This window comes from Homo sapiens, chromosome 7, assembly GCF_000001405.40.
Source record: "Homo sapiens chromosome 7, GRCh38.p14 Primary Assembly".
Taxonomy (NCBI): domain Eukaryota; kingdom Metazoa; phylum Chordata; class Mammalia; order Primates; family Hominidae; genus Homo; species Homo sapiens.
Genome location: NC_000007.14, coordinates 135,657,526 through 135,682,870, shown reverse-complemented (window position 1 = coordinate 135,682,870; position 25,345 = coordinate 135,657,526). Strand labels below are relative to the sequence as shown.

The 25,345-nt window shown below is 42.9% G+C and overlaps 2 protein-coding genes and 2 pseudogenes across 6 annotated transcripts in view, besides 4 other annotated features; 2 read left to right on the top strand and 2 right to left on the bottom strand.

Annotated features, from left to right (window-relative positions):
* The window catches only part of SLC13A4 (solute carrier family 13 member 4), a 46,956-nt gene extending 45,316 nt beyond the window's left edge, over positions 1-1,640 (top strand). For all 5 annotated transcript variants that reach the window (XM_047420184.1, NM_012450.4, XM_011516024.4 and 2 more), the window contains one exon: positions 1,171-1,640. In XM_047420184.1, the coding sequence (XP_047276140.1) occupies positions 1,171-1,308 (138 nt within the window). In that variant the 3' untranslated portion in view covers positions 1,309-1,640. The remainder of the gene's footprint in view (positions 1-1,170) is intronic.
* A 4,814-nt stretch (positions 1,641-6,454) lies between these two features.
* STMP1 (short transmembrane mitochondrial protein 1) lies at positions 6,455-20,357 on the bottom strand. The gene is made up of 3 exons (NM_001130929.2): positions 20,277-20,357; positions 10,065-10,118; positions 6,455-8,780 (listed from the first exon to the last, which is right to left on the bottom strand). The coding sequence occupies exons 1-3, from the start codon at positions 20,289-20,291 to the stop codon at positions 8,706-8,708; spliced, it is 144 nt and encodes a 47-aa protein (NP_001124401.1). The 5' UTR covers positions 20,292-20,357; the 3' UTR covers positions 6,455-8,705.
* RNU6-1154P (RNA, U6 small nuclear 1154, pseudogene) lies at positions 17,169-17,272 on the top strand (annotated as a pseudogene).
* Positions 17,496-17,790: a silencer, noted in NCBI's record as "tiled region #4311; HepG2 Repressive non-DNase unmatched - State 7:EnhWF, and K562 Repressive DNase matched - State 5:Enh". NCBI's record gives its function as "represses a minimal TATA promoter and a strong SV40 promoter by Sharpr-MPRA in HepG2 and K562 cells {active_cell/tissue: HepG2 | K562}" and the evidence as "EXISTENCE:reporter gene assay evidence [ECO:0000049][PMID:27701403]".
* Positions 18,574-19,098: an enhancer, noted in NCBI's record as "H3K4me1 hESC enhancer chr7:135348521-135349045 (GRCh37/hg19 assembly coordinates)". NCBI's record gives its function as "activates a minimal SCP1, AML or CMV promoter by ChIP-STARR-seq in primed H9 embryonic stem cells {active_cell/tissue: H9 hESC(primed)}" and the evidence as "EXISTENCE:reporter gene assay evidence [ECO:0000049][PMID:30033119]".
* Positions 19,099-19,623: an enhancer, noted in NCBI's record as "NANOG-H3K27ac-H3K4me1 hESC enhancer chr7:135347996-135348520 (GRCh37/hg19 assembly coordinates)". NCBI's record gives its function as "activates a minimal SCP1, AML or CMV promoter by ChIP-STARR-seq in primed H9 embryonic stem cells {active_cell/tissue: H9 hESC(primed)}" and the evidence as "EXISTENCE:reporter gene assay evidence [ECO:0000049][PMID:30033119]".
* Positions 20,263-20,482: a silencer, noted in NCBI's record as "silent region_18680". NCBI's record gives its function as "represses an Ori minimal core promoter by ATAC-STARR-seq in GM12878 lymphoblastoid cells {active_cell/tissue: GM12878}" and the evidence as "EXISTENCE:reporter gene assay evidence [ECO:0000049][PMID:35858748]".
* RPL15P11 (ribosomal protein L15 pseudogene 11) lies at positions 22,203-22,883 on the bottom strand (annotated as a pseudogene).

Sequence of the window (25,345 nt, the reverse complement as noted above, 5' to 3'; positions counted from 1 at the left end):
GTCTCCCGCTTCCTCTGCTGTGTGCCCCCACCACTGACCCCTAGCTTTCTACACTGGAATCAAATGATCAGAGGCAGTAATTTTCAAAGGTACCAGGTGACAAGAAGTGAGCCAGTCTTGGGCACTATTCCCAGCTTGGGCACTACCTTGACTTCAATTTCCTCATCTGCTAAATGATGAGGTTCCAGCTGGATGCTCCATGGGGTCCCTTTCAACTCTAACACTCCTTAATTTAGCCCTGCTAGAACCTGCCCTCTCACCTGTGGGGAAACATGGGCTGTCCTCCATGCCAAAATGCCCAGGGGGCCCCGACCAGACGGCAGGAGAGAGAGGACACGTCTAGCCATTTGCTTGAAACAATTTCCCAGCATCCACTTTCCCCTTGCAATTTTCCCAACTTAATGCCAGCTAGTGACTTGTCTTGGCTACATGCTATATGCCTGGTTACTCCTTGGGAAGATGCCAGCTATCCTTACAGGACACATTTTTCCATCTGGCTCTGCCAGCCCACCATCTCTCACATCCCCCACTTCAGCCTGTGGGTGTCAATGTCAAGGCAGAAGTGAAAAGGGTCAGTCACTGAGGTGTAATTCCCTCAGAGGAAAGAAGCAAAGGCTCCATTCCAGCTAGCATGCCTGTGTCCCCTTCTTGAGGAAGAGCTGAGCAGAGGCAGCTAAACCGTTTCCCCAAGTGAACTCAAGGTACACTATTTCCATGAGCTGTTCCTTAAAAAAAGGTAACAGTAGCAAAGGCTTCATGTAATATAGCCCCTCGTACAAGTTCCCTGTATTAACGCATCGGGGCTCTGAGAAGTTCCTGCTTTACAGAGATCTGGTTAGTTTTGTTTAGCACATTTCCCTATCAGTGAGCTGCAGAAATACCTCTTCACGTTCCACAGAGTGGGTGTTCCAAGTAACTAACATACCTTCTAGGCTTCCACTTGAAATCTAGTGAGAGTGCTGTAAGCATGAAGTGGAGATGACTCTAATTGTCCCTTTCCCGCCTTTCCACAGTCCTGTGCACCCTACAAGGCAATGCTAGAGCACCCCAGGCAGCAACTGGGAACTAATCTGGGCCACAAGGCATAGGCTGCAGGAACAGAAGGGGGACTTGGGGATCTGTGCTGCTGCTGGTCAGAGTGACTAGGGTGTGCTGGTTTGTGTCCTGCAGGTGAAAGCTGGCCTGGGAGTCAACGTTATTGGACTGGTGATAGTAATGGTGGCCATCAACACCTGGGGAGTTAGCCTCTTCCACCTGGACACTTACCCAGCATGGGCGAGGGTCAGCAACATCACTGATCAAGCCTAACGCCAAGTGTACAAACTGGCCCAACCACAGGAGCTGCCAGTATCCAGCAGTATCTGGACCACAGGCAAAGAAAACCACTAGGACCACCAGGAGCACACAACCCCAGACCCACGCCGGAGGGCATCCCTCCACCAGAAGATTCCGCCACCTCAAGTGAACTGCAGGAATCCTCCAACAACCACAAACACATGCTTCGCTGTTAGTGTCTTCTTCCTGCCCTCAGCACCACAGCTCAAGAAAACCTAAAGTTTCAATACAAGCCATAGGCTCACAGAAAAAGAAAAAGAAAATAAAAATTAAATTAAAAAAAAAGAAGACAAAGAAAACCTAAAGTTGTATCTAGTCTTTGTAATCCATTCATTCTGAAGACAGGAAAAGAAAGCCTGTCTTAGTCACCCTTCGGAGGCTAAGCCTTGCAAACTCACTAGGTTTTATGTTATTCTTAATACCTTCTTAGGAGTAGAAAGATACCCAAGTCATCCTACCAAGGCAGAGTGAAACCAGTGACATCTTTTTTGTGGGAAACCTCACCCAGACCTCGAAACCTAATGTCAGCTCCTTTCTCTCTCTCTCTTTTTTTTTTTTTTTTTTTTTGAGATGGAGTCTCGTTCTGTTGCCCAGGCTGGAGTGCAGTGACACGATCTCAGCTCACTGCAACCTCCACTCCCAGGTTCAAGCGATTCTACTGTCTCAACCTCCTGAGTAGCTGGGACTACAGGCATGTGCCACAACGCCCAGCTGGTTTTCTGTATTTTTAGTAGAGATGGGGTTTCACCATGTTGGCCAGGCTGGTCTCCAACTCCTGACCTCAGGTGATCCACCTGCCTCAGCCTCCCAAAGTGCTGGGATTACAGGTGTGAGCCACCACGCCCGGCCATCAGCTCCTTTCTCTTAAGTGCTTCTATCCTAAGTTCTCTCCACAAGAAGGCATTCTTAGTAGGTCTTCCTCATGGCAATTAGTACTCTTTCATCACCACTTTCATTCCCTTTTAAGCATCTCTCCTCAATGGCTCCCCTTTACCTTGGCACCAAATTCCCATATAGTGTTCCCTTTCAGAAAGAGGCTGGTGTTGTTCTATTAGTCAAAGGAAAGGGAAGTCGGCCGGGCGCGGTGGCTCACGCCTATAATCCCAGCACTTTGGGAGGCTGAGGCAAGCGGACCATGAGGTCAGGAGTTCGAGGCCAGCCTGACCAACAGGGTTTTAGTAGAGTGAAACCCCGACTCTACTAAAAATACAAAAATTAGCCGGGCGTGGTGGTGCACGCCTGTAATCCCAGCTACTCAGGAGGCTGAGGCAGAAGAATCGCTTGAACCCAGGAGGCAGAGGTTGCAGTGAGCTGAGATCGCACCACTGCACTCCAGCCTGGGCGACAGAGCGAGGCTCCGTCTCAAAAGGAAAGGGAAGTCAAGAAAGAAGATACATTGAGATTAACATCTCTCTCTCCACCTGTCACTAACCAGAAATACTATTGCCTTGGTTAAGTTTTGGGAGGGAGGGAAAACTTTCCTATGTGTCTTATAAGGGAAACCAAAACTATAATTAAGACCACAGCATTATTATTATATTAGACTGGCTTGCTTCTGGATTTAATAAGTAGTTTGTTCCTGAGAAAACAAAGTATTAGGTAGTAGCCAAAGGTCCAAACACATCTGTCACTTCCTACACATCCCTACATGAGCCCCTTGAGGGAGAAGAGCTGTCTATGGCTCTTGAAATCCCCCAGCAACTTCTACAATGTGGTAAGCTGTAAATGCTCAATAAACGTGTCCCATGAGAAAACAACTGTCTGGAAATCAAGGCTTCTTTCTCCTCCTGAAGACCATGCCGTTTTCTCCATGATAGATATCCTTGCTACATGACTGGAGATAGCTCTCAATCCCTCTAGTTTGTTAGTGTTACATATTTTTTATTTCTCCCATCAGTTGTTTGCTAAATATATCTTAGGGGAAAGGGAGTCCCCTACAATTACTGCACTGTTTTAAGTGATTTTAAGTTACTACTGATAGCACGTGCTGTTTTCCCACAATAATTTATCTATAAAATCACTCCCTTAATTGATCAAGCATCTGTGAGTTGTAAAATTTCTTTTGGAGCAAAAGAAACCACCACAAACATGTGCTTCAACCACAGAATGTGACTGACCATGGTTAATGGGAACATCAGTGCTTCTGCCCTGTGAGTTAGACCAAAATTATTTGTCCAATATAATAGTTAAGACCTCACAAGCCCAAATGAAATACCAATGTTAGGTACGCTACAGCTGATTTGATCCAGCCAACATCTCTAAAGTCATTTGCTTTAAATTTTCAAGAGTCAGGGTATTACTCTTATTATCAGAGCAGCCAAACATCACATTTATGAACCATCACAGAACACAGATCCTTTGCCCCTAAGTCAGACAATAGGACAAAGGTGCAATCTGTAAGATTCTGGGAGTATAAGTAAAAAGAGAAAGAAAAGTTGATTTAGAATTAAGTGGACTTAGAATTACTGGCCAGTATTCAACTATGTGAGAACCTGACTCACTCCTGAAGGGAAAGCTGTGCCAGCAACTGCTGCCAGGTGTTCCGAGTAGTGAATGCATTCAACTAGCCAATTTAGAAAGAGCGTTTATTTCAGTCTGGTCTACTAAACTGCTCTCAAGCACAGCACTGTTCTTTCCCAGAACTGGAGATTCAAGCCAAGCAAGGTTACCCATTCCAGTGACAGGAAATGGCAAATATGATTAATAACTCCTTGTCATCTAAATCACTCCACTGTTGGATAACTTCTAGCCCTCCTTAATAGTCTTGTGTCTCTTGCAAATATAATTTAATTTTATCTTCTAATATTTTATGGATGATGAAACTGTGAGCCAAAGTCACTAAGTATAGTTGCATCTTATTCTTAAACCAATTCTTTATCAAATTTGCTTAGTCAAAGTTGCCTTTGAAATTCCACTAAGTCAGACATTAAGTACATGGTATACAATCTTTCACATTAGTATTTACATATCACAAACACTCATGTACCATCTTTTAACAAATCAAAAGCAGCTAGTTTTCCTTCCAACATCAGAACAAATCTGTTTGTTCAACCATACAATAAATGAGGTAGTTGGCTTCACATCTGGAGACCGTGATGTTTGAAAAAGTCTCTAAACACTAGAATCACTCTCAATACAGCAAGAAACTCAAACCATTAGAACGCAAAGGGAACCGAGACCACCTGAGTACACAGGTAGCTCAGTGGGGCTGTCCTCACTGAACGAACACTGAACACAATTGCATGCACTATTTACATGGCACCTTTTTTGGTCCCAGTCCTGTACAACTGTGTAAGATGATGCAACTGCACTGTACCTTTCATAAAATCCTCCCACCGAGGCTGTGATTCAGGAAGGCCCAGGACCCAGGGTTTCAACGTCCCACCCTGGGAACTTCCACAAGGTCTCACTGTTCTCAGTTCATTTTTCTTTCCCTGTGCCTTGCAAAACATGCCATATGTTAGGTCTTCAATGCTTGACTAAATACACTGCAACCAGATTTGGGAAAGGTATAAAATGAACACTTGAAAATCTAAGTGTCACAAACTCCCTATTAAGAGCAGGCAAGATCTCAAAATATTTTCCCTTCACCACCCTATTCCTTTCCGCAAGGCGAAGCCCTAATAGTCAATAGGGAAAAAAGAACTCATTCATCTGTAAGGAATGGAAATGCTACATGCAAAACCCAAGACTGGAAGTTTAAGAAAAGCCTCATTTGCTCCAGTACAGTATATAACGTTCCTTCAGGAGGAATAACTCAGAAAAGGCATTAAAAATGTGGGAGACCTCAGCAGAAAAACACCAGCATAGTATCTAGGGAGTGAACGGGTTAGTGGAAATGAAAACATTACACATGTGTACCATGGGTACATATGCTCTATGAGGCAATGTGTATAGACAACTAGAAAAACCACACAGCCTACTTTTCTCTATAGTCACACAAACTCATTGGGTAAATGAGTTAGAAAAAGAGAAATAAAATTGCTCCTTTAAATCAGAATCAGGTAACTGCTTAAATACATAAAATACCAAATCAGAAGAAAAGTCTAAAGATATACTTTTGGTAACTTCATAAAATTCAGCCTCTTTTGACAATTTTAAATAAGGCTTTTTTTCTTGCTTTGTTTTTGTTTTGTTTGGGAGGATTACAGTTTAGGGATAAGCTTTTCAAGTTCACTGTATTTTTCTAGCATCAATCCTGAAGTCTTGTATTTCACATGTCAGAGTAATCTGCACTAGTATTTTGAGCAACTCTCATTTTATGGTCAGATGTGGCAGAAGTTTTCCTAACCATATTAGTAGGAGCTTTCAAACATTTTTTAAAGGAAAAAAAAAAGGCCTGTCTTGTGGTGCTTCTTCCCACCACTCCATTGATCTGTGTGGCAAGGGTTCCTACAAAATTCCCAGGGAAGGGGTAACTTTCAGTGCCATAAACCCCATTCACAGTAAGGATTTTCAACTACACCCTAAAACTATGATGGTTCTGGGCTCCTCCAACATATAGCTCAGTGAAGATCATCTTGCCTGAGAACTCTGAGGTCCTTTTCACTGCTGCCAAGAACATAAAACTAGGAGAGGGTATCTGAATGGTGAATGCAAAGTCAGCCTGCACTGTGTAGCAGTTTACATGATGAAGCCGAATTTAAGAACTGATCTGCTAGATGGATCCCACTGGTAGAAATGATCCCCTTGCCAAGGTTAAGTGTCACCTCTAAAGGAAGCCCTAAGTCCAAATGAGCCTTGTTTACAAGGTATAATATAAAGAGACCTATCCTTCTAATAGCTAAGTGACCTCCAATCCCAAAGCAGCCACTCTGGGAGACCACACACACCACAGCAATGCTATCATGGTTGGTAACAAGGAATCCCTCTTTGGAAACAGCTTTCTAAGCTTCTAGCATTTTTAATACCCGCAAGGTAAACTTTCATCCTTTGAGGCTGTAGTTCATTGTGCTAACAATTCAAGATCAAATCTTGTGAGCCAGATGGTACAATCCAGGTGGATACTGTAAATTTTCATCAGTATCAAAAACAGCGACTACAGAATAATGACAAACTTTTTGTGTGGTTCATAAACTGATTCCAAAAGTGACTGCAGAACTAGCCAAAAAGCAACAAGTTTGTACTAATAGCTACTATTTATTAGATAGTCTGCAAAGCACTGTGAAACATTACATACATTATCTCAATTATTTTTTATGAAAACCCTATGAGGTGGATATTTACGTCCACGTCTACAGATAATGCAAGAGTTTCTGAAAGAATAAGCTACAAACCCGTGACATGCAATTTACCTATTAAATGAATCTAAAAGTTTAAAAAAGCTGGGCGCAGTGGCTCACGCCTGTAATCCCAACACTTTGGGAGGCTGAAGTGGGCAGATCACTTGAGGCCAGGAATTTGAGACCAGCTTTGCCAACATGGTGAAACCTCGTCGTTACTAAAAATACAAAAATTAGCCAGGTGTGGTGGTGATGCCAGCTACTTGAGAAGCTGCAGCACGAGAATCACTTGGACCGGGAGGCAGGAGTTGCAGTGAGCCAAGACTGTGCCACTGCACTCCAGCCTGGGCAGCAGAGTGAGACTCTGTCTCAAAAAAAAAAAAAAAAAAAAGCCACTTGCCCATGATCACGCTGCTAGGAAAAGTCAAACCATAATTTAATCCTAATCTGTCACACACAAAGACAACATTGACAGGAATAAAACTTACTTCCATGTAGGAGAGATGCAAGTTGTCAAAGAGAAGCAGAATCACTTTATCATATACAGAATCAATGTCATCACTGTCTGAAAAAAGATGCTCTGAACAATTCTTCCAGTTTATTGATTCTGAACCTGCCATGTCTTCAAAAATGGCATTATTAGTGAAGCTGCTCAACAAGTCCTCTGAAACAAAACAGCTAGCGAAATGGGTATTTGTATTTAGTCTAAATTATACTTTTAGGACTTCATCTTATAGCTATACCCTGAATCGATATGCTTAATAACATTAGGATTGAAGTTATCACTGTAATAGCAAAAGAACAACCTAAGCATTCACCAGTAGCAGATTAAATCAATTATGTTATATCTATTCAAAAAAATTTTAGGCAGCCAAAAAAAGAATGAGGTTCCTTGCTACTTACATGCTGGTATAGAATGATCTCCATTAAAAAAGAAAAAAAGAAAAAAAAAAGGCGAGGGCTAGACCTCCATGTATAGTTACTATTTGTGTTACACGTGTTTGTTTAGGCACAGACTCTTTCTCAAAAGTATAAGGCGAAGTGGTAACAGTAACTTGTCAAACAGGAGCCAGGAGCCAGAGAACAGGGGTGGGAGAGGCCCTTTATATGAAATTACTTTTGTATCTTGTCCCATGGCAAAAGTTAATTATTCAAATTTTTTTTTAATTTAAAAACAATACAAGCTGATTATACATTTGACAAATACAAGGAATTTCTGACTGCAGGAAAAAACAAAGCATCAACTACAAAGAGAAGCAGAAATTCTTCTTGAGCTGCTGATTTTACTATACATTTGGGCTATATTTTTTCTTAAGACAATCACTACAAAGTAATAATATAAATACCTTTTTTAATGTGAAAAGGTATAAAATCTCCTTTAAAAACTTTTCACTTATCCATCATATAACATCAAATGTACCTGTAATCCCAAGTATGATTCTTTTGAGAAGGAAAAAAGTCAGATCAAATACATCATTAAGGAAAAACATGCACACTAAATAGACTATGAACTCTACTGGGACAAAGACCATTATTTTGTGTATTTTTTCATTCCCCAATTCCTGACAGGATTCTCAGAATCGTTTCTTCATGAATAGCAAATTGACTTATTGGTTAAATTAGCAACTACAGAGCTGCCTAACAACAGTACAAAATAAATGAATAATTCACCAGAAACTAGCTCTAGATACTAATTTTAATTACTTTGCAGCAACATAATTTAGTACCAAATGTTTAACAAGTACCCATTATAATTACTAAACTGTGAAGTCACTATTATTTGTATCTGACCAGCTATACAAAACTCATCAATTTTTCTTTTGAAAAAAGGTAGTAAAAATCGCAAACGATAAAGAAGACACTACTCATTAAAAGTCATGTTTACTAATCTAGCACCATAATTCCAGTCTTAGAACCTCCCATGCAGTTGGAAAGGGATTATGGGAAGAGGTGAGTATGTTGGAAATGTCGGGTAGTTCTCAAATTGGGGCCCCATTTTGCTTGCTTTAAAGCAAAAAACACAGGGTCTAGCAAAGAAGAGAAGTGCTGAGGCTGGAGACGAAAACAAAAGCTTTTGGTTCAGATAGTAAACGAGGCCCTCAAGAGCAGTAGAATCAGTATATCCTGAAGGCAGTGCTGGAGGCAGTCTCATGCACTAGGGGGTTTCTTCTTGGCATCCAAGTCCTTTTTAATTTCTTCAAGTTTTTTAGCCAGGTTTGGTATCTTTGAAGAGAAAAAAGGTTATTATAATTTTGCATCTACCTAATCAATATTCTTGTACTTCTCTTCCTCCAAAGATAAATGGTTTTACAAGCTTTTATCTTCCTCCAAAAGAGATCTGCTAAATAGTGGTTATTTCTTTTTGCTTTCTTTTTTAAGATAGGGTTTCACTCTGTCACTCAGGCTGGAGGGCAATGGTGCAAACACAGCTCACTGCAGCCTTGACCTCCAGAGCTCAAGTGATCCTTCCCGCCACAATCCCGCAAGTAGTTGGGACCACGGACATGCCACCACCCCTGGCTAATTTTTGTATTTTTTGTAAAGATGGGCTTTCGTCACACTGCCCAGGCTGGTCTCGAACTCCTGAGCTTGAGCAATCTGCCCACCTCGGCCTCCCAAAGTGCTAGGATTACAGGCGTGAGCCACTGCACCCGGCCAATAGTGGTATTTCTTAGCCTTATAACTGCATGTGAAAGATATCAGAAGTTGTCAGATAAGTATGCTCCTTCTCTGAAACCCACTTCTACTTTTGTATACCCACTTCCGCTCGATCTGGTGCCAAGTAAAGGTTGTACATATAAACAATAAATGTGACATAATGTAGCCTTTGCCTAGAAAACTGTATGACTCAAACGAAGGTTGACAAAGGAATTCCCTTTGTCATATGAAAAGCTTTATAACAAATCAAGTTAGTATCATGTTTCCCTTGCTTGTCTTTTTCAAACTCCTGTCCAGAATCCCCATTCATAGGCTGCTGCACCACCTGGTTTTCAACATCACCACCTATAAAGTGAGGTTAATACAACTTCACAAAACTCTGTCCCCAAATGTGCTACACTTAGAATTTTGGAGATGGAATATAGATCTATATTTTTCAGTCCCCCTACCCAGATGCATCTCCAAAATTCTAAGTCATCTCTACTACTGGATAGTGGGGCTGAAAATATTATCCAATTAATTTTTAAATTCTCACTTATCACATGATTTCCCAAAGAATTTTAAGAGCCCAACTTAATATTACTCTCGGCTAACAAGCCACAGCTGAGGATGATCATGAGCCCAGCTAAACTGAAGGGATTTTGCCCTCTTGTGGTGATATGGAGGACAGCTGTTTCATGAGTTGGATTACTTTTTCAAACAATGGCAAACCATTCTACAATATTCAGGAGTTTTGCCTCAGCCATATGGACTACATTTATGCTGGAAGTCACACCTTACCTCAAACAAAGAAAAGTCACTCTAAAACAGTTACATGGAATCAAGGAAGTCATGGATATGGCCACTTACATCATAGTTCTGAGCCAGATACATTCCAACCACGTTGCCCAGTGTAAATCCAAGCTGAAAAAATAGAACAGTAAGAGTTATAGTGCATGCCGAGTCCTGTGCCAGTCTGATTCCAAACTAAAATACATAGACAATATCTTCCTAAGAAGCTTAGGACAGTTAGAAGACCTTGATGTCCAGTCTAGGGCTGTGTACAACATGAGAGTCACATTTTTCTTCTATAAACACAGAGATGCCCTCTCCAGAGGCTAAACAGCATACAAAAGAATAAATGGTGACACCAACCAAACATAAGAAAAAAATAAAACAACAAAAAAGAATAAATGGTAACACTGTATAAAGCTACCCTAAATTCTCTTATCCCCTCACAACCCACATAAATACTTGACTACAAGTCCTGGAAACTCAAGCCAAAGTTCAGATTTTTCTTGTTGCATGCTGCAATTTTTTTGTCTTTTTTTGGTTATGGATATTGTTATTCCTTTTTAAATCAAATAAAAATTATTCAGTTTTTAAAGTATTCAGTCAAGGCCGGGCACAGAGGCTCACGCCTATATCCCAGCACTTTGGGAGGCCAAAGTGGTAGATCACTTGAGGTCAGGAGTTTCAGACCAGCCTGGCCAACATGGTGAAACCTCGTCTCTACTAAAAATACAAAAATTAGCCAGGCGTGGTGGCTCACATCTGTAATCCCAGCTATTCGGGAGGCTGAGGCAGGAGAATCACTTGAAACCGGGAGGCAGAGGTTACAGTGAGCTGAGATTGTGCCACTGCACTCCAGCCTGGGAGACAGAGCAAGACACTGTCTCAAAATAAAAATAAATAAATATTCAGTCAAATCATAGGATCTCAGAGAATGAAGGGACTCTTCACAGTTTACAATCTCTTCATAGTTCAAAAGAGGAACTTGAGGCCCAGGATGGGAAGGGACTTCTCCAAGGACATTCACAACAAGGAGGACAGGACAATCTACATTAGCTTCACACTCAAAAACTAAAATATGTGATTACAGAAAAGAAGAGAAAACTCTGACACACCACTGAGAGCACATATGGCTTAGCACTCTGCCACAGGTACAGTCTAACAGGCAGGACATTTAAGGCCGGTGGGAAACACAGTGACAAGAGACGGGTGCAATTTTTAGAAAACTTTAAATATTTATCTCATTTGGTGACTATTTTCCTAAACAAAAACTGGTTCATGAAAATTTAGATATATCCAAAAGGGCCAAGGCTCCTCAGCTTTGAGTTTTAATGATAATAATTCCCTGTTTTCCTCTGGTAACTAAGAGGCTCCATCTGGAGCTTAATTTCTCATTTTATAAATTCAAACTAGCATCAATTTTTTTCATCATTTTCTTTAATCATTGTTGCTTTTATTCAATCAATACACAGCAGAGAGGTTTAAAAAAATAAAATGTGGCACTTAACACCATCAATCACATGGCATGACTGAACCTTCTCTTCAAGTTGGAGATGCACACAGGGGAACAGAATGCAGCTGGGTCCTTAGTACACTTTAAACTTACTAAGCTTGAAACACCAAAAGTATAATTTAAATTGGTTTGTTGTTAGCAATAAAAATCATAGAAGAGTCTATCTTATCTCTAATCATAGACCGTTCTGATCATTTGATTAATCAGATATGGCCTGCAAAATCCTACTTTTACCAGTGTTGCACCTTGAAGGAGAATGATTTTTTTCTCCTATGGGTTGAAACCAGGTAGGAAATGGTTTTCCAAATCCAGAAGGAGTATTAAATTTGCTTAAAAGAAGAGAAAACAAGTCAAATGAAAGTATTAGCTCTAACACCAAAAAGAAAAAACATGGGATTTAAAAACTTTCAAAAAAAATAATCGAGTTCTGGTTCCACCACTATCAAGCGGTGTGCCTAAAGCAAGACACTTAACCTCTCTGGAGCTTTGCTGATTTGAGCTTCCTGATTTATAAAACATTATACTCACAATGTAATGTCCAGCTCCAACATGCTAAGATTCCTAGTTCTTACCAAATGTGTCTCTAAATAAATGTGGCATGTCTAACGTGGCTTCATTTTGGCAACTTTGCCAGGTATCAGGGCACATAAAAAACTCATGATTATTTTAAAACACAACACAAAACAAAAACCATGAGCCTCTAAACAAGTCATATCAATTCCAGTTTCAGAATACTACCGGATCTACCAAAGGAGTATCATAAGATTAAATACACAAGAAAAATATCACTAAGAGAAATGTTGGGAAAAATGCATGAAGCCAGAAAAGCATATACAGTATGTCATTCACGGGATGGTCAGTAGGCAAGTTTAGACAAAAAAGTAAAACCTAAATCTGAGGAACAGTGACTCAGTCTGAGAGGTTAGACTGGAGTCAGATTATAGGAGGTCTTGGATGAGTCTGAAACCTCCTTGCAGGCCAAGAATGCCTAACTTCTTCCAGGCCAAGACCTGGAAACCTCATCAGTAGTTCTGTCAGCTGAATGCCATCACAATGCCCTGCTTCCCCCATATCACATGGTCACCCCTTAGTATTCCCTGTAGAGAAGACTGTGGCATAAGGAATGCAATGCTTTCTTCCCAAGCTCAACACTAAGTGCATTACTATCACACCCTCTCTGTAATAATTTTGAGACTTTAGGGGTATGAAAAAGTAGCTTCTTTTCACAGAAACATTGGGGACAATTAATGGTAAAACACTGGAAGTTTGAGAACAGAGGACTGAGATGAGGAAAGTAGTGTACAGGAAAAATAGATGGGAAGAAGATACTGGAGCTAAGAGCCCCAAAAGAGAAGTCTAGACTGGCACAGAGCAGTACACAACAGAAGAATCGCATTGTCAGCTCTATAAATAGAGAGTACACTAAGAATCAGTGAAGCTCCACAATCCATTATCCACAATTCTGAAACCCAACTCAATCCAAACTACATTTCATCATAACTCATTTGGTAGCAAAAGCATATCTGACCTGAACTAACAGGAGCCTATTTATGTCATTATCACACTTTAGTGTGAATAATCATTTTTTGCTATAGAAATAGAAATCTTTAAATATAGGATCCTGCCTTAGACCTCCTCGCTGGAGAATATGTCTCACACCAAAAATTTTAATACATTTAGATTACAAAGTGCTATCCCAGATGCTGCTGGGGGTGTTAAGTACCGAGGTACATGATGCAGCTTATTACTTTTCTAAAATCTGAAAGAAATCTGATTTCCCAAATACATACGGCCCCTAAAGATTTTGATTAAGGGACTGCAGACCTTATACTAAAAATCAACCTCATATTTAGCCCCATGAAAGGATTAAAAATGATCTCTGCCCTTAGAGAACTTATATGATGAATAGGAAGAAATGCTAGGTAAAATAGTTATATAACAACAGAAGGCAGGACCCTGCACAGGATTTTCAATGTTAACAGATGCTCCAAACATCAGAACTAGGCCATGCATTAAGTGGCAAAATGAATGACACAAAAGTGATTCTTTTAAGAAATCATACTTGAAAAATATATACCTCAGGTTGATATTAAAGGCTCTAAATATGCTAAGTGTTCACATTTAAACTGGTGATACGGTTTGGCTGTGTTCCCACCCAAATCTCATCTTGAATTCCCACGTTGTGGGAGGGACCAAGTGGGAGGTAACTGAATCATGAGGGCAGGTCTTTCCCATGCTGTTCTCGTGATAGTGAATATGTCTCATGAGATCTGATGGTTTTATAAAGAGGAGTTCCCCTGCACAAGCTCTCTCTTTGTCTGCTGCCATCCATGTAAGACGTTACTTGCTCCTCCTTGCTTTCTGCCATGATTGAGGCCTCCCCAGCCATGTGGAACTGTAAGTCCATTAAACCCTTTTTCCCATGTAAATTACCCAGTCTCGGGTATGTCTTTATCAGCAGTGTGAAAATGGACTAATACAACTGGTAAAGGAAATGCGAAGAAAACTGAATGTGGAAAATCAAGGCACGAGATGGGAATGGACATGTGATGACTGGCATAAAAGAAACAGGCCTGACTGGAAAAGAGAATTTGAGTTAAAGAATGGAGAGAATTAAGTATGGAAAGCTGGAAAGGTCTAGATGTTGGGCTTCAACAAGCAGGTAGGGCAGCCAGGTACAATGGCTACGCTTGTAATCCCAGTACTTTGGGAAGACAAGGTGAGAGGATGGCCTGAGCCCAAGAGTTTGAGACCAGCCTGGGCATCATGGTGAAACTACATCTCTACCAACAAAATGCAAAACTAGCCGGATGTGGTGGCATACATCTGTAGTCCCAGCTACTCTGGAGGCTGAGGTGGGAGGATCACTTGAGCCCAGGAAGTAGAGGTTACAGTGAGCTGAGATCATGCCACTGCACTCCAGCCTGGGCATCAGAGGCAGGGGAGTTTCCTTCACATGCAATCATGGTAGGGAGACACTGACTACTCTGCCCTCAGCAACATGATGAAAGCACTGCCTGAGAAGCACTCTCCCGGTACCTATACTCAGAAAAGGCTGAGGAAACAAGGACCTATTAGATGATGAAAAGATGTAGGAATTTAAAAAGGTAATTTTTTTTTTAAGAAAACCAAGTACCCATTAGAGAAAAGCCGATTACTGTGGTGGCAAGGAAAGAAGACTGAATTGTTTCTATTGATCAATAAAGATCAATGGAATAAAGTGGAGAGCCCAGGAATACACCATAAAGGCTTATGGTCAAGTGATTTTCAACAAGAGTGCCAAGGAACTCAATATAGAAAGAATAGTCTTTCCAAGAAATGGTGCTGGGAATAATCTTTTCAAGAAATGGTGCTGGGACAATGGGATATCCACATGCAAAGAATAAAGGTGGACTCCTATCTCACACTATATACAAAAATTAACTCAAAATGGATTAAAGACCTAAATGTAAGAGCTAAAACTATAAAACTCTTCAAAGAAATCATAGGCGTAAACCTTCATGAGTGGGGCTGGGCAAATAGTTTTCTTAGATATGACACCAAAAGTACAAGTAACCAAAAAAAAAAATTGGACTTCATCAAAATTAAAAATATCTGTGTTTCACATGAGTGGGGCTGGGCAAATAGTTTTCTTAGATATGACACCAAAAGTACAAGTAACCAAAAAAAAAAATTGGACCTCATCAAAATTAAAAATATCTGTGTTTCAGAGAACACCATCAAGAAAGTCAAAAGACAACACACAGAATGAGATAAAATATTTTCAAATATATATCTGATAAGGGATGTGTATCCAGAATATATAAATAATTCTTACAACTGAGTGACACAAAAAAACTCAATTTAAAAATGGGCAAATTGGCCAGGCACAGTGGTTCACACCTGTAATCCCACAGTTTGGGAGGCCAAGGTTGGGGGATCACCTGAGGTCAGGAGTTCAATTACCAGCCTGGCCAACTTGGTGAAACCCCGCCTCTACTAAAAATACAAAAATTAGCCAGGCATGGTGGTGGACGCCTGTAGTCCCAGCTACTCGGGAGGCTGAGGCAGGAGAAATCACTTGAACCCAGGAAGCAGAGGTTGCAGTGAGCCGAGACTGCACCACTGCACTCCAGCCTGGGCGACAAAGCGAGACTCCGTCTCAAAAATAAATAAATAAAATAAAACAAAAATAAAAATGGACAAATGATGTGAAAGGATTTCTCCAAAGCTACAAACAGTCAACAAGCATATGAAAAGATGCTCAACATTAGTCACTGAGGAAATGCAAAGCAAAACCATAATGAGGAACTACATCACACCCACTAGAATTACTTTAACAAAAACAATAAGAGCTACACGAAATGTTGGCGAGGATGTGGAGAAATTGAAGCCGTCATACATTACTAGTGAGAATGTAAAACGGTGCAGCTACTCTGGAAAACAGTCCAAAAGTTCCTCAAAAAGTTGAGCATAAAGATACCACATAATGCAGCAATCCCACTTTAGGGTATATACTCAACAGAACTGAAATACATATCCACACAAAAGCCTGTATACAAATATTCCTAGCAGGATTACTCATCATAGCCAAAAGTGGAAACATCTTGAATGTCCATCAACTGGTGAAATAATTAACAAAATAGAAATAAACATAACAAACAAGGTGCAAGATAATTATTCAGAAGTTACTGAAAAGACATGAGACCTAAATAAATGAGGAAATGGATCATAATAGTGTAATAGTGTAAGGCCAGGCACAGTGGCTCACACCTGTAATCCCAGCACTTTGGGAGGCAGAGGCGGGCAGATCACATGAGGCCAGGAGTTTGAGACCAGCCTGGCCAACATGGCTGTTTCTACTAAAAATACAAAAATTAGCCGGGGATGGTGGCACACGTCTGTAATCCCAGCTACTTGGGAAGGTAAGGCACGAGAATCGCTCGAACCAAGGAGGCAGAGGTTGCAGTGAGCCGAGATTGCACCACAGCATTCCAGCCTGGGTGACAGAGTGAGACGCTGTCTCAAAAACAAAACAAAACAAAGACATAATAGTGTAAAGGTTTCAGAAGCATAAGTCATCAGGAGGGCCTCATGGAAAAAGATCAAAGTGGGGCCTTGAAGAGTATTTAGGAAGGCAAAAAGGATAAAGGGAAAACCGGCCGGGTGCAGGAGCTCACGCCTGTAATCCCAGCACTTTGGGAGACCGAGGTGGGTAAATCACTTGAGGTCAGGAGTTCAAGACCAGGCTGGCCAACGTGGTGAAACCCCATCTCTACTAAAAAATATAAAATTAGCCAGGTGTGGTGGCATATGCCTGTAATCCCAGCTACTTCGGAGGCTAAGGCAGGAGAATCGCTTGAACCCGGAGGCTGAGGCAGGAGAATCGCTTGAACCCAGGAGGCGGAGGGTGCAGTGAGCCAAGATGGCACCAGTGCACTCCAGCCTGGGTGACAGAGTGAGATTCTGTCTCAAAAAAAAAAAAAGCAACAGATTACAATAACACAATAACAACATCATAGGCAGTGTGCACAAAGCCCCCAGCAGTGCCATCATGTTAGCTTCCCGCCAAAAGCATCCTTAAAATAACTCTAGCTAAACCTTACGATTAAGGAAGCAGTAGCTTCCCTCAGGTAGTGTTGGTAACTATCTGCAAAGAGGTGTCTTTTACTGCAGTAAAAGAAAGGGGGGTGCTCACTTTGGCAGCACATACACTAAAACTGGAATGATACAGAGATCAGAATGGCCCCTGCGCAAAGACGACACACAAATTTCTGAAGCACTGCATTTAAAAAAAAAAAAAAAAGTCTAGGAGCAGTGGCTCAAGCCCATAATCCAACACTTTGAGAGACTGAGGTGGGAGGATTGCTTCAGCCTGGGAGTTCAAGACCAGCCTGGGCAATATAGTGAGACCCTATCTCCACTATTAAAAATAGTAATAATAAAGGGGAAAAACTGCAGTAAAAGAAAAGGGGAAAATCACAGGAACAAGGTCTCTTCAAGATAGGGACAAAGGGAGAATATTTTAATCTGAGGAGGAATATGAATAATGGAAGGACGTTATCACCAACACAAGCAAGTGCAGTGGTTTTCAAACTGTCCACAAATCACAACTGTAGGAGAAACATCTTAGACGGTTCCAAAATGTGTAATGACAACGCACTGCTTAACTTGTGACTGTTTCATCACTTCTAAACCTTTCCTATCACCTACCCTTCTGAGAGAAGCTAATCCCCACTTGAGAAGAAACTCAATCAGGGTTCAAATGAACCCTGCAAAAGAAAAACTGAACACTATCTGAATCCTTGTTGAGTGCTCCTGTTTTTAAGTTCTTTAATGTGTTAACTCATTTTTAATCCTCACAACAAAACTGTGAGGTGGGTTTGCATTTTCAGATGTGGAAATGGGAGCACAGAAAATTTCAATAGCCCACCCACGCTACCACAGCTTGAAAATGATGGGAGGCAGAGTTCAAACTGAGAAGTCTGACTCTGAAGTTTAATCTCTTAAACACTAGAACATGATGGTCATTTTTTAATAGATGAAATGACTGCACACAAAGAGAAATACTTGCTCAACTTTAGAGTCAGTGGCTCATTTGACAGAGGTGGAATCAATGTGAAAAGTAATGCTATCCACTTATTTAAAAAAAAAAGCAATGAGGTGGAAGACCAGAGGGTGAGAGAACATCAGTGTTCAGTTACTTCTGAGCTAGGAATATAATTGACAGCTTTAGCATCTCTCCTTAAATACTGAGAATTCTGAATTCTCAAATCAGAATCTGACCAGGCACAGTGGTGGCTCATGCCTGTAATCCCAACACTGTGGGAGGCCTAGGCAAGACCTGTCTCTACAAAAAAAAAATTTTAAAATTAGTCACGGGTGGTAGTGCGGGCCTGTAGTCCTAGCTACTACTAAAGAGGCTGAGGTGGGAAGGCTGCTTGAGGCCAGGAATTAAAGACTGCACTGAGCCATGATTGTGCCACTGGACTCTAGCCTAGGTGACAAAGAGAAACCTTGTCTCAAAAAAAAAAAAAAAAAAAAAAAATTAACACACAGTAAAAGTTTATTGCAAAACCAAATAGACTCATTCTGCAAAACCACTTAGAAAGTTAACTGTAATTGAATCATGTCCTCTCAGTTTATCAATGAGCAACAGATATAGTAAGCAGCTCAATTACATCATTCTATACTCTGGAGCTAAGTGATACCGCTTTTAATCTAGTGTTTACTACAAGAAAATGACTGTCATTATTCTGAACTCCTAAACTAACATCTAGTTAGGACACTACAGAAACTCCTAGAGGCAAAGGAGCAGCCCTGTCTTAGCTGGGCAGATTAAGGACACTCTTTTGACTAATTGGATTTAACAATCCATTACCATCTTTCAAAAGGACAAAAGGGGTGCATTTTGTGTTTTAATCTCTTTGATAAAGATACAGCATTTGGGGCCGGGCGCGGAGGCTCACGCCTGTAATCCCAGCACTTTGGGAGGCTGAGGCAGGCAGATCCCGAGGTCAGGAGATCGAGACCATCCCGGCCAACGGGGTGAAACCCCGTCTCTACTAAAAATACAAAAATTAACTGGGCCTGCTGGCGCGCACCAGCTACTCGGGAGGCTGAGGCAGGAGAATCGCTTAAACCCAGGAAGCGGAGGCTGCAGTGAGCCGAGATCGCACTACTGCACTCCAGCCTGGCGACAGAGCGGGACTCCGTTAAAACAAACAACAAAAAAAGATACAGCATTTGAGCCGGGAGCAGTGGCTCACGCCTGTAATCCCAGCACTTTCGTAGGCTGAGGTGGGTTGATCACTTGAGGTCAGGAGTTCGAGACCAGCCTGGCCAACTTGGTGAAACCCGTCTCTACTAAAAATACAAAAATTAGCTGAGCATCCTGGTGCGCGCCTGTAATCCCAGCTACTCCGGAGGCCGAGGAGGGAGAATCGGTTGAACCCGGGAGGCGGAGGTTCCAGTGAGCCCAGATTGCGCCACTGCACTCCAGCCTGACGACACAGCGAGACTCCGTCTCAAAAAAAATAAAAAATAAAAAAAAATAGAGGTTGAAAGCATCAAGTTTTGAATGCACAATAGCTTGGCAGAAAAACTTTCACTTGAAAATTTGATGAGCAACTCCTGGAACCTTCACCAAGCAATTTTTGAAATATACCGAGTTTTGCCAGAAAACTCGTTTTTAACTCAAATAAGGAGCCAAGAGAAATAGTCTGCTTACTCATGCTTACACATTTTGGGAAAAATTACTTGTATACCAGTGTCTGACTCATTCCTCCAACTCTGAAAGGTCTGATGAGGACTTAGCCTCTCGGACTTCGTGAGGTGGCTAATTTACGGTTTATTCCTGGCCTTCCTACCTCCTCAGAAAAGCCAACTAGCAGGGCTCCACAGCAGGGACCGGCCGGCGACCATGTAATGGAACAGGAGCGCAGAAAGAAAGGGGGGCGGACTACGAAAAGTCATCAAGGACCACACAAGCTTTAATACAAAGATTGCACAATGAGCGCGGGGCGCGGCACACAATAAGAAGCTCTGGAAACGCACACTCTCTGACACCTCAAAGTTTTAGGGACTTGGATGGCTGCAGAAAAATATTGGCAAAGGGATTTTCTGGGGAGGCAGGAAGAAAACGGCCGCCCTGCGAGGCGACGACCAGGCGCGGGGGACGAAGGGACCGCTGGACCCACGCCCAGGCCGGGTCGGCGGGGTCGGCAATCCTCAAGGGGGAAATGGGGTCCGAGGCACGCCCCAGGCAGCGGGCCCCGCTCTTCGGCAGCTCCACTCACCAGGAACTGGAGCATGATGTCGGTGGGGAGGGCGAGGAGGGCGCGAAGGACTGCAGCAGCTCCGCGGGCCGGTCCGAGCCTACCTCCCCATGCGCGGGGGGGGCGGAACCCCTCGTCGACTTCCGGGTCACGCCACGCCCCGCCCCGCTCCTCCCACTCAGCCCGCGCCCGGAAACGACTTGCAGTGTCGCAGCGCCCAGGTTCCCCCTGGCGGAGCGCGTTGGCCTCACCGCCTGAACCGGCGGGGCAGCGAGCGCGCGACAGGACTTGCGAAGAGCAAGTCCCGAGCCTGGCTGGGCATCCTTGAGCATCCCGCCTCTGTAAACCTGGGCCGAGGCCCAGGAATCTATATTATTCTCAGCACGCGGACTATTCTGATACACAGCCCAGTTTAGGGCTCTCTAACCTAGAAGGACGGCATGAGCAGCGGGTCCCATCCCTAGGTTCGCAGCTGAATCGTGGGGGCTTTTGCAGCATCCTCTACTTGGGCCCAGCTGGACTTTGCGGGGAGGAAAGGAGGCTTGTAGCTCTCAAAGCTCCGCAGGTGTGCTGTGTAATCAGCGTTGTGTAATCAGGTGTTGTGTAATCAAGGTAGAGGCTGGGTACCGTATGGGGCCCATGCTGCCGTGTGCCGCACGCCAGTCACTGAGATGATGAGTTTTGTAGCAGAGAAAAGGTTTATTCACCAGGCAGCCAGCCGAGGAGACGGGAGAACAGATCTCAAATCTGCCTCCCCAAAGATGGGTTTTAGGGATATTTATGGGATAGAGGAGCAGGGTGGTCTGAGGTGTGGGGAAAGGCGGTTGAAGGTAAGGAAAAGTTTGGCAATGGGTTATCTGCGCGAGGTAGTCAAGCTTCATGGCTCTTTATAGGATACATGGTCACAAAATGACATCCTTAGCATGATCTGAGTGTGGAGGTTTTGGCCCTCTAATGTCAGAAGGACACCCATCGGGCTTTCATGCAGGCCCAGTTGAGAGGTTGGTGGTTTAAACTGTACAAGAACTGACCCCAACTTCCTGAAAAACAAGAAACCTTTATCAAGCAACCCAGATGTCAGAGATGTTATCCATAAGGAAGATAGTGGGAGCTTAGATATATATTGTTTAGCTCTGTGACTTTAGCTATGTGGGTTTTTTAATCCACTAAAAGCAGGTGACTAAAAACAAGTGAGAGAAGTTGCATTTGGCAGGCCTCATCAGGTTGGCTCTCAGTTTCACTGGCCTAGCTGGGTTTCTTGCCTGGGATGGCCATAGGTCCTGTTGACAATTTGTATCATCGCCACAAAGAGTCTGTTCTGTCAGTCTTCCGGTCTGTGTATGTGTGTGTTTTTTTCTCTCTTTCTCTTTTAAAGAATTTATTTTAAGCCTATTATACCACACAGTATGTTTTAAACACTAACTCCCTAATAAGATATATAACTCCCTAATAAGATAAAGCAAAGACAAAAAAAGTTCATCTTATTAGAAACAAGATACACCATCCCTTATTGTCTTCAAAAATTATTGCACTTTAATTTTCATAATTTGACAAAGCATTCATGAAACAATCTGCAGACTAGTTTTAACAGACAAATAACACCTGTAAGCAGACATGACTGTCCTAAATTATTAGGTACGAATTTTACAAACTTTTTTTTTTTTTTGAGACGGAGTCTCGCTCTGTCACCCAGGCTGGAGTGCAGTGGCGCAGTCTCGGCTCACTGCAAGCTCCGCCTCCCGGGTTCACGCCATTCTCCTGCCTCAGCCTCCCGAGTAGCTGGGACTACAGGCGCCCGCCACCACGCCCGGCTAATTTTCTGTATTTTTAGTAGAGACGAGGTTTCAACGTGTTAGCCAGGATGGTCTCGATCTCCTGACCTTGTGATCCGCCCGCCTCGGCCTCCCAAAGTGCTGGGATTACAGGCGTGAGCCACCACGCCTGGCCCAAACTTTACTTATATTAGTGGTAACGGTGGAGCTGGAGAGTATCACGCCTTCTCCAAGCTGCCCAGCAAGAACCATCAATAGTGTGGTGGAACTTATGGCACTTTCCAAGGCCACAGCTCCTTTGGCCTGCAGATGTCAGCCCACACATCTCCCTCTGCTTGTGGACTGGTTTGGTGATCGACTGGGTGTCAGGATTTCTTCTGATAACTTCATAGAATGGATCAATGAGGATAACCTCAAAAAATCTGTATGTGGAATCTTCACCAACCCAGTAAGAATTCAGGACTCTTAGAGCCCCACAGTTGTGTCCAACTCGCTCCTCTGCAATGGACTGAAGGCTTCGAGCAAACTTCAGCTGGTTAACACCATGATGGACAGGCTTGCCATAAGTTGCACCCTTAGGAATTGGGCATTTTTGACCACCATGGTGAACATGAATCCTATATATAATGTAACCTTGCTTGGCCTTGTAGCCCAGCTGGCGTGCTTTATCAGGCCAGGTGGGGCAGGGAGCCCCGTGGACAGCAGATAGCTGGCAGTACTGCCAGCAGCAGACCCTCAGAAGAAAGCGCATGACATCAGACTGCTTCTTCCTCCATTGCTCCTGGATGTACTTGTATGCATCCATTTTGGCTTACCTGATGGCTGCTGCCAGACAGAAAGGAAAGAGCTTACTCCCCCTGGTCTGTGTTTTAACATTAATGCTGATCAGTTGTTGCATTTAAACTGCAAAGGAGAGGGGATATAACGAGGCATGTCTGACCTCCCGTACCATCATGTCTGGGAACTCAGTTTTAAGGTCTTTCTGGAGTCCCTTTGGCCAAAAAGAGGGTCTGTTCAATCAATGGAAGGAATTTAGGATGTTTAGTTTACCTAGGGAATAGGAAAGCTATAGAAATCTAATCAACATTTCCTATTTCTGCTTTTCTCCAAACATCTCTCATTGTTCTCTCTGTCTTCCCCCACCCACTTCCTGGTTTTTCTGCTTTCCAGCATATTGCCACAGCAACCGACCTGGGTTTATTTATTAAATGGCTAACCAATAGAGACACTCTGTGGTTAGCCATTTGTATTAGTCTGTTTTCGCACTGCTATAAAGAACTCCCTAAGACTGGGTAATTTGTAGAGGATAGGCGTTTAACTGACAATTCTGCATGGCTGGGGAGGCCTCGGCATACTTAAAATCATGGTGGAAAGCTAAAGGGAAGCAAGGAATATCTCACATGGTAGCAGGAGAGAAAAAGGGAGGGGGGAGCTGCCAAACACTTTTAAACCATCAGATCTCTTGAGAACTCACTCACTATCAAGAGAACAACAGCATGGGGGAAACTGCCCCCGTGATCCAATCACCTCCCGCCAGGTCCCTCCCTCGACACGTCGGGGCTACAGGGATTACAATTGGAGATGAGATTTGGGAGGGGCCACAGAGCCAAACCATATCACCATTTAACAAGTAAACTCAAGTAAGTTGAGTTTACTCCTAATAGGATCTCTCTCTCTTTGCCATTCTCGAATGCCAGGGAAAGGAAAACTGATGGGTCAAGATGGTGTCAGATGCTCCACAATCAACTACAACTAGAAAGGGCAGGGTCTCTGAACTAAAGTGGCTGCCAAGAGGGAAGAGGGAAGGGATACTAGGAGATGGCTACAACACACCATACTTTCCAGTCTGTCCAGGTTAAAACTTGACTCACTCAAGACTTAACCAGTGCTTCTCAACTTTAATCTTCATTCACATCACCTGGGCATCTTATTAAACTACAGGTTCTGATTCAGTACGTCTATGGTAGGGCCTAACTTTCTGCATTTCTTTCAACCCCAAATGATGTTGCTGGTCTATGGACCAGACTTTGAGTTGCAAGATGCCGGACTGTGAGCTACACTGAGGGTGAGGACTTCACCTGTTGAGCTCATGACTCCATCCTCAGCGCCCAACAAGTGTCTGGCACAGCCTCTGAACGCAATATAAGGATAGTTATTAAAATTTATTTCGTAGAACCTTATCCTCTCCTTAAGATAAGGCTTAAATGAAGCCTAGCTTTTCCTCTAAGGCTTTTTCAAAGGTGTTTTCTCTAAATAAACACAGGGCATGGAGAAGCAAGGCAGGACTCTTTTGTTCCCCACTGCTACTTCCAGATTATCCCTTCAATATCCTTATATAAAAACACTTCCTTTACTTTCCTGTTTACCATTAGCTCCCCCTTCCCTTTTTTTTTTTTTTTTTTTTGCAGTGGGGTCTAGCTCTGTCACCCAGGCTGGAGTGCAATGCCGTGATCTCGGCTCACTGCAACCTCCGCCTCCTGGGTTCAAGCGATTCTCCTGCCTTGGCCCCCTGAGTAGCTGGGATTACAGGCGCCCGCCACCATGCCCAGCTAATTTTTATATTTTTAGTAGAGACAGGGTTTCATTGTGTTGGCCAGGCTGGTCTCAAACTCCTGACCTCATGATCCACCCGCCTTGGCCTCCCAAAGTGCTGGGATTACAAGCGTGAGCCACCGCACCCAGCCTACCTTTAGCCCTTCTTAATGTCTTAATCTGTTGATTTCTGAGGCAGTCTCCTCATTCACTGAAGGCTTTGGCATCTAACCCACAGCCTTCCTTTCAGTGCCACATTATCGTAATTTTGGGTGACTTCAAGGCCATATGCACTTGTACTTTCCAGATCTCCTTCCTTCCAGTGACCTTCACCTTCACTCCCCTTCAGCAGTGCTCTACCGTGATCGTTAACACTTTGTCATATCCTAGACCTGTGAAGTATACTCCCAAATCCTACCTCCTCTCCTATCAGCCCTTTGACCTTAGCCAGATCTCCACTCAGCTATTCCATATTCTCATGAGCTATGAGCCCCCTTCTGGAAGGCTTCAGTCCTTTTCTGTCTAGTCTATACCCCAAGAGACCAGCACTTTAAGGACCGTTACTCTCAATTCTCTTATCCAGTGGTCTTCTCTGATACTTGCCTTTTAAAATTCTAATTTTTGATCTCCACCTTTTCCAGTCCCATACCAGTGATTCTAAGCACTAAATGGAGAAAAGATGGATCATTCAGCAAATGATACTCATCTAACCAGGATCATTACGTGGAAAAAATAATGATGTTGGGTTCCTACTTTACACTTTGCACATAAATTACAGATAACATA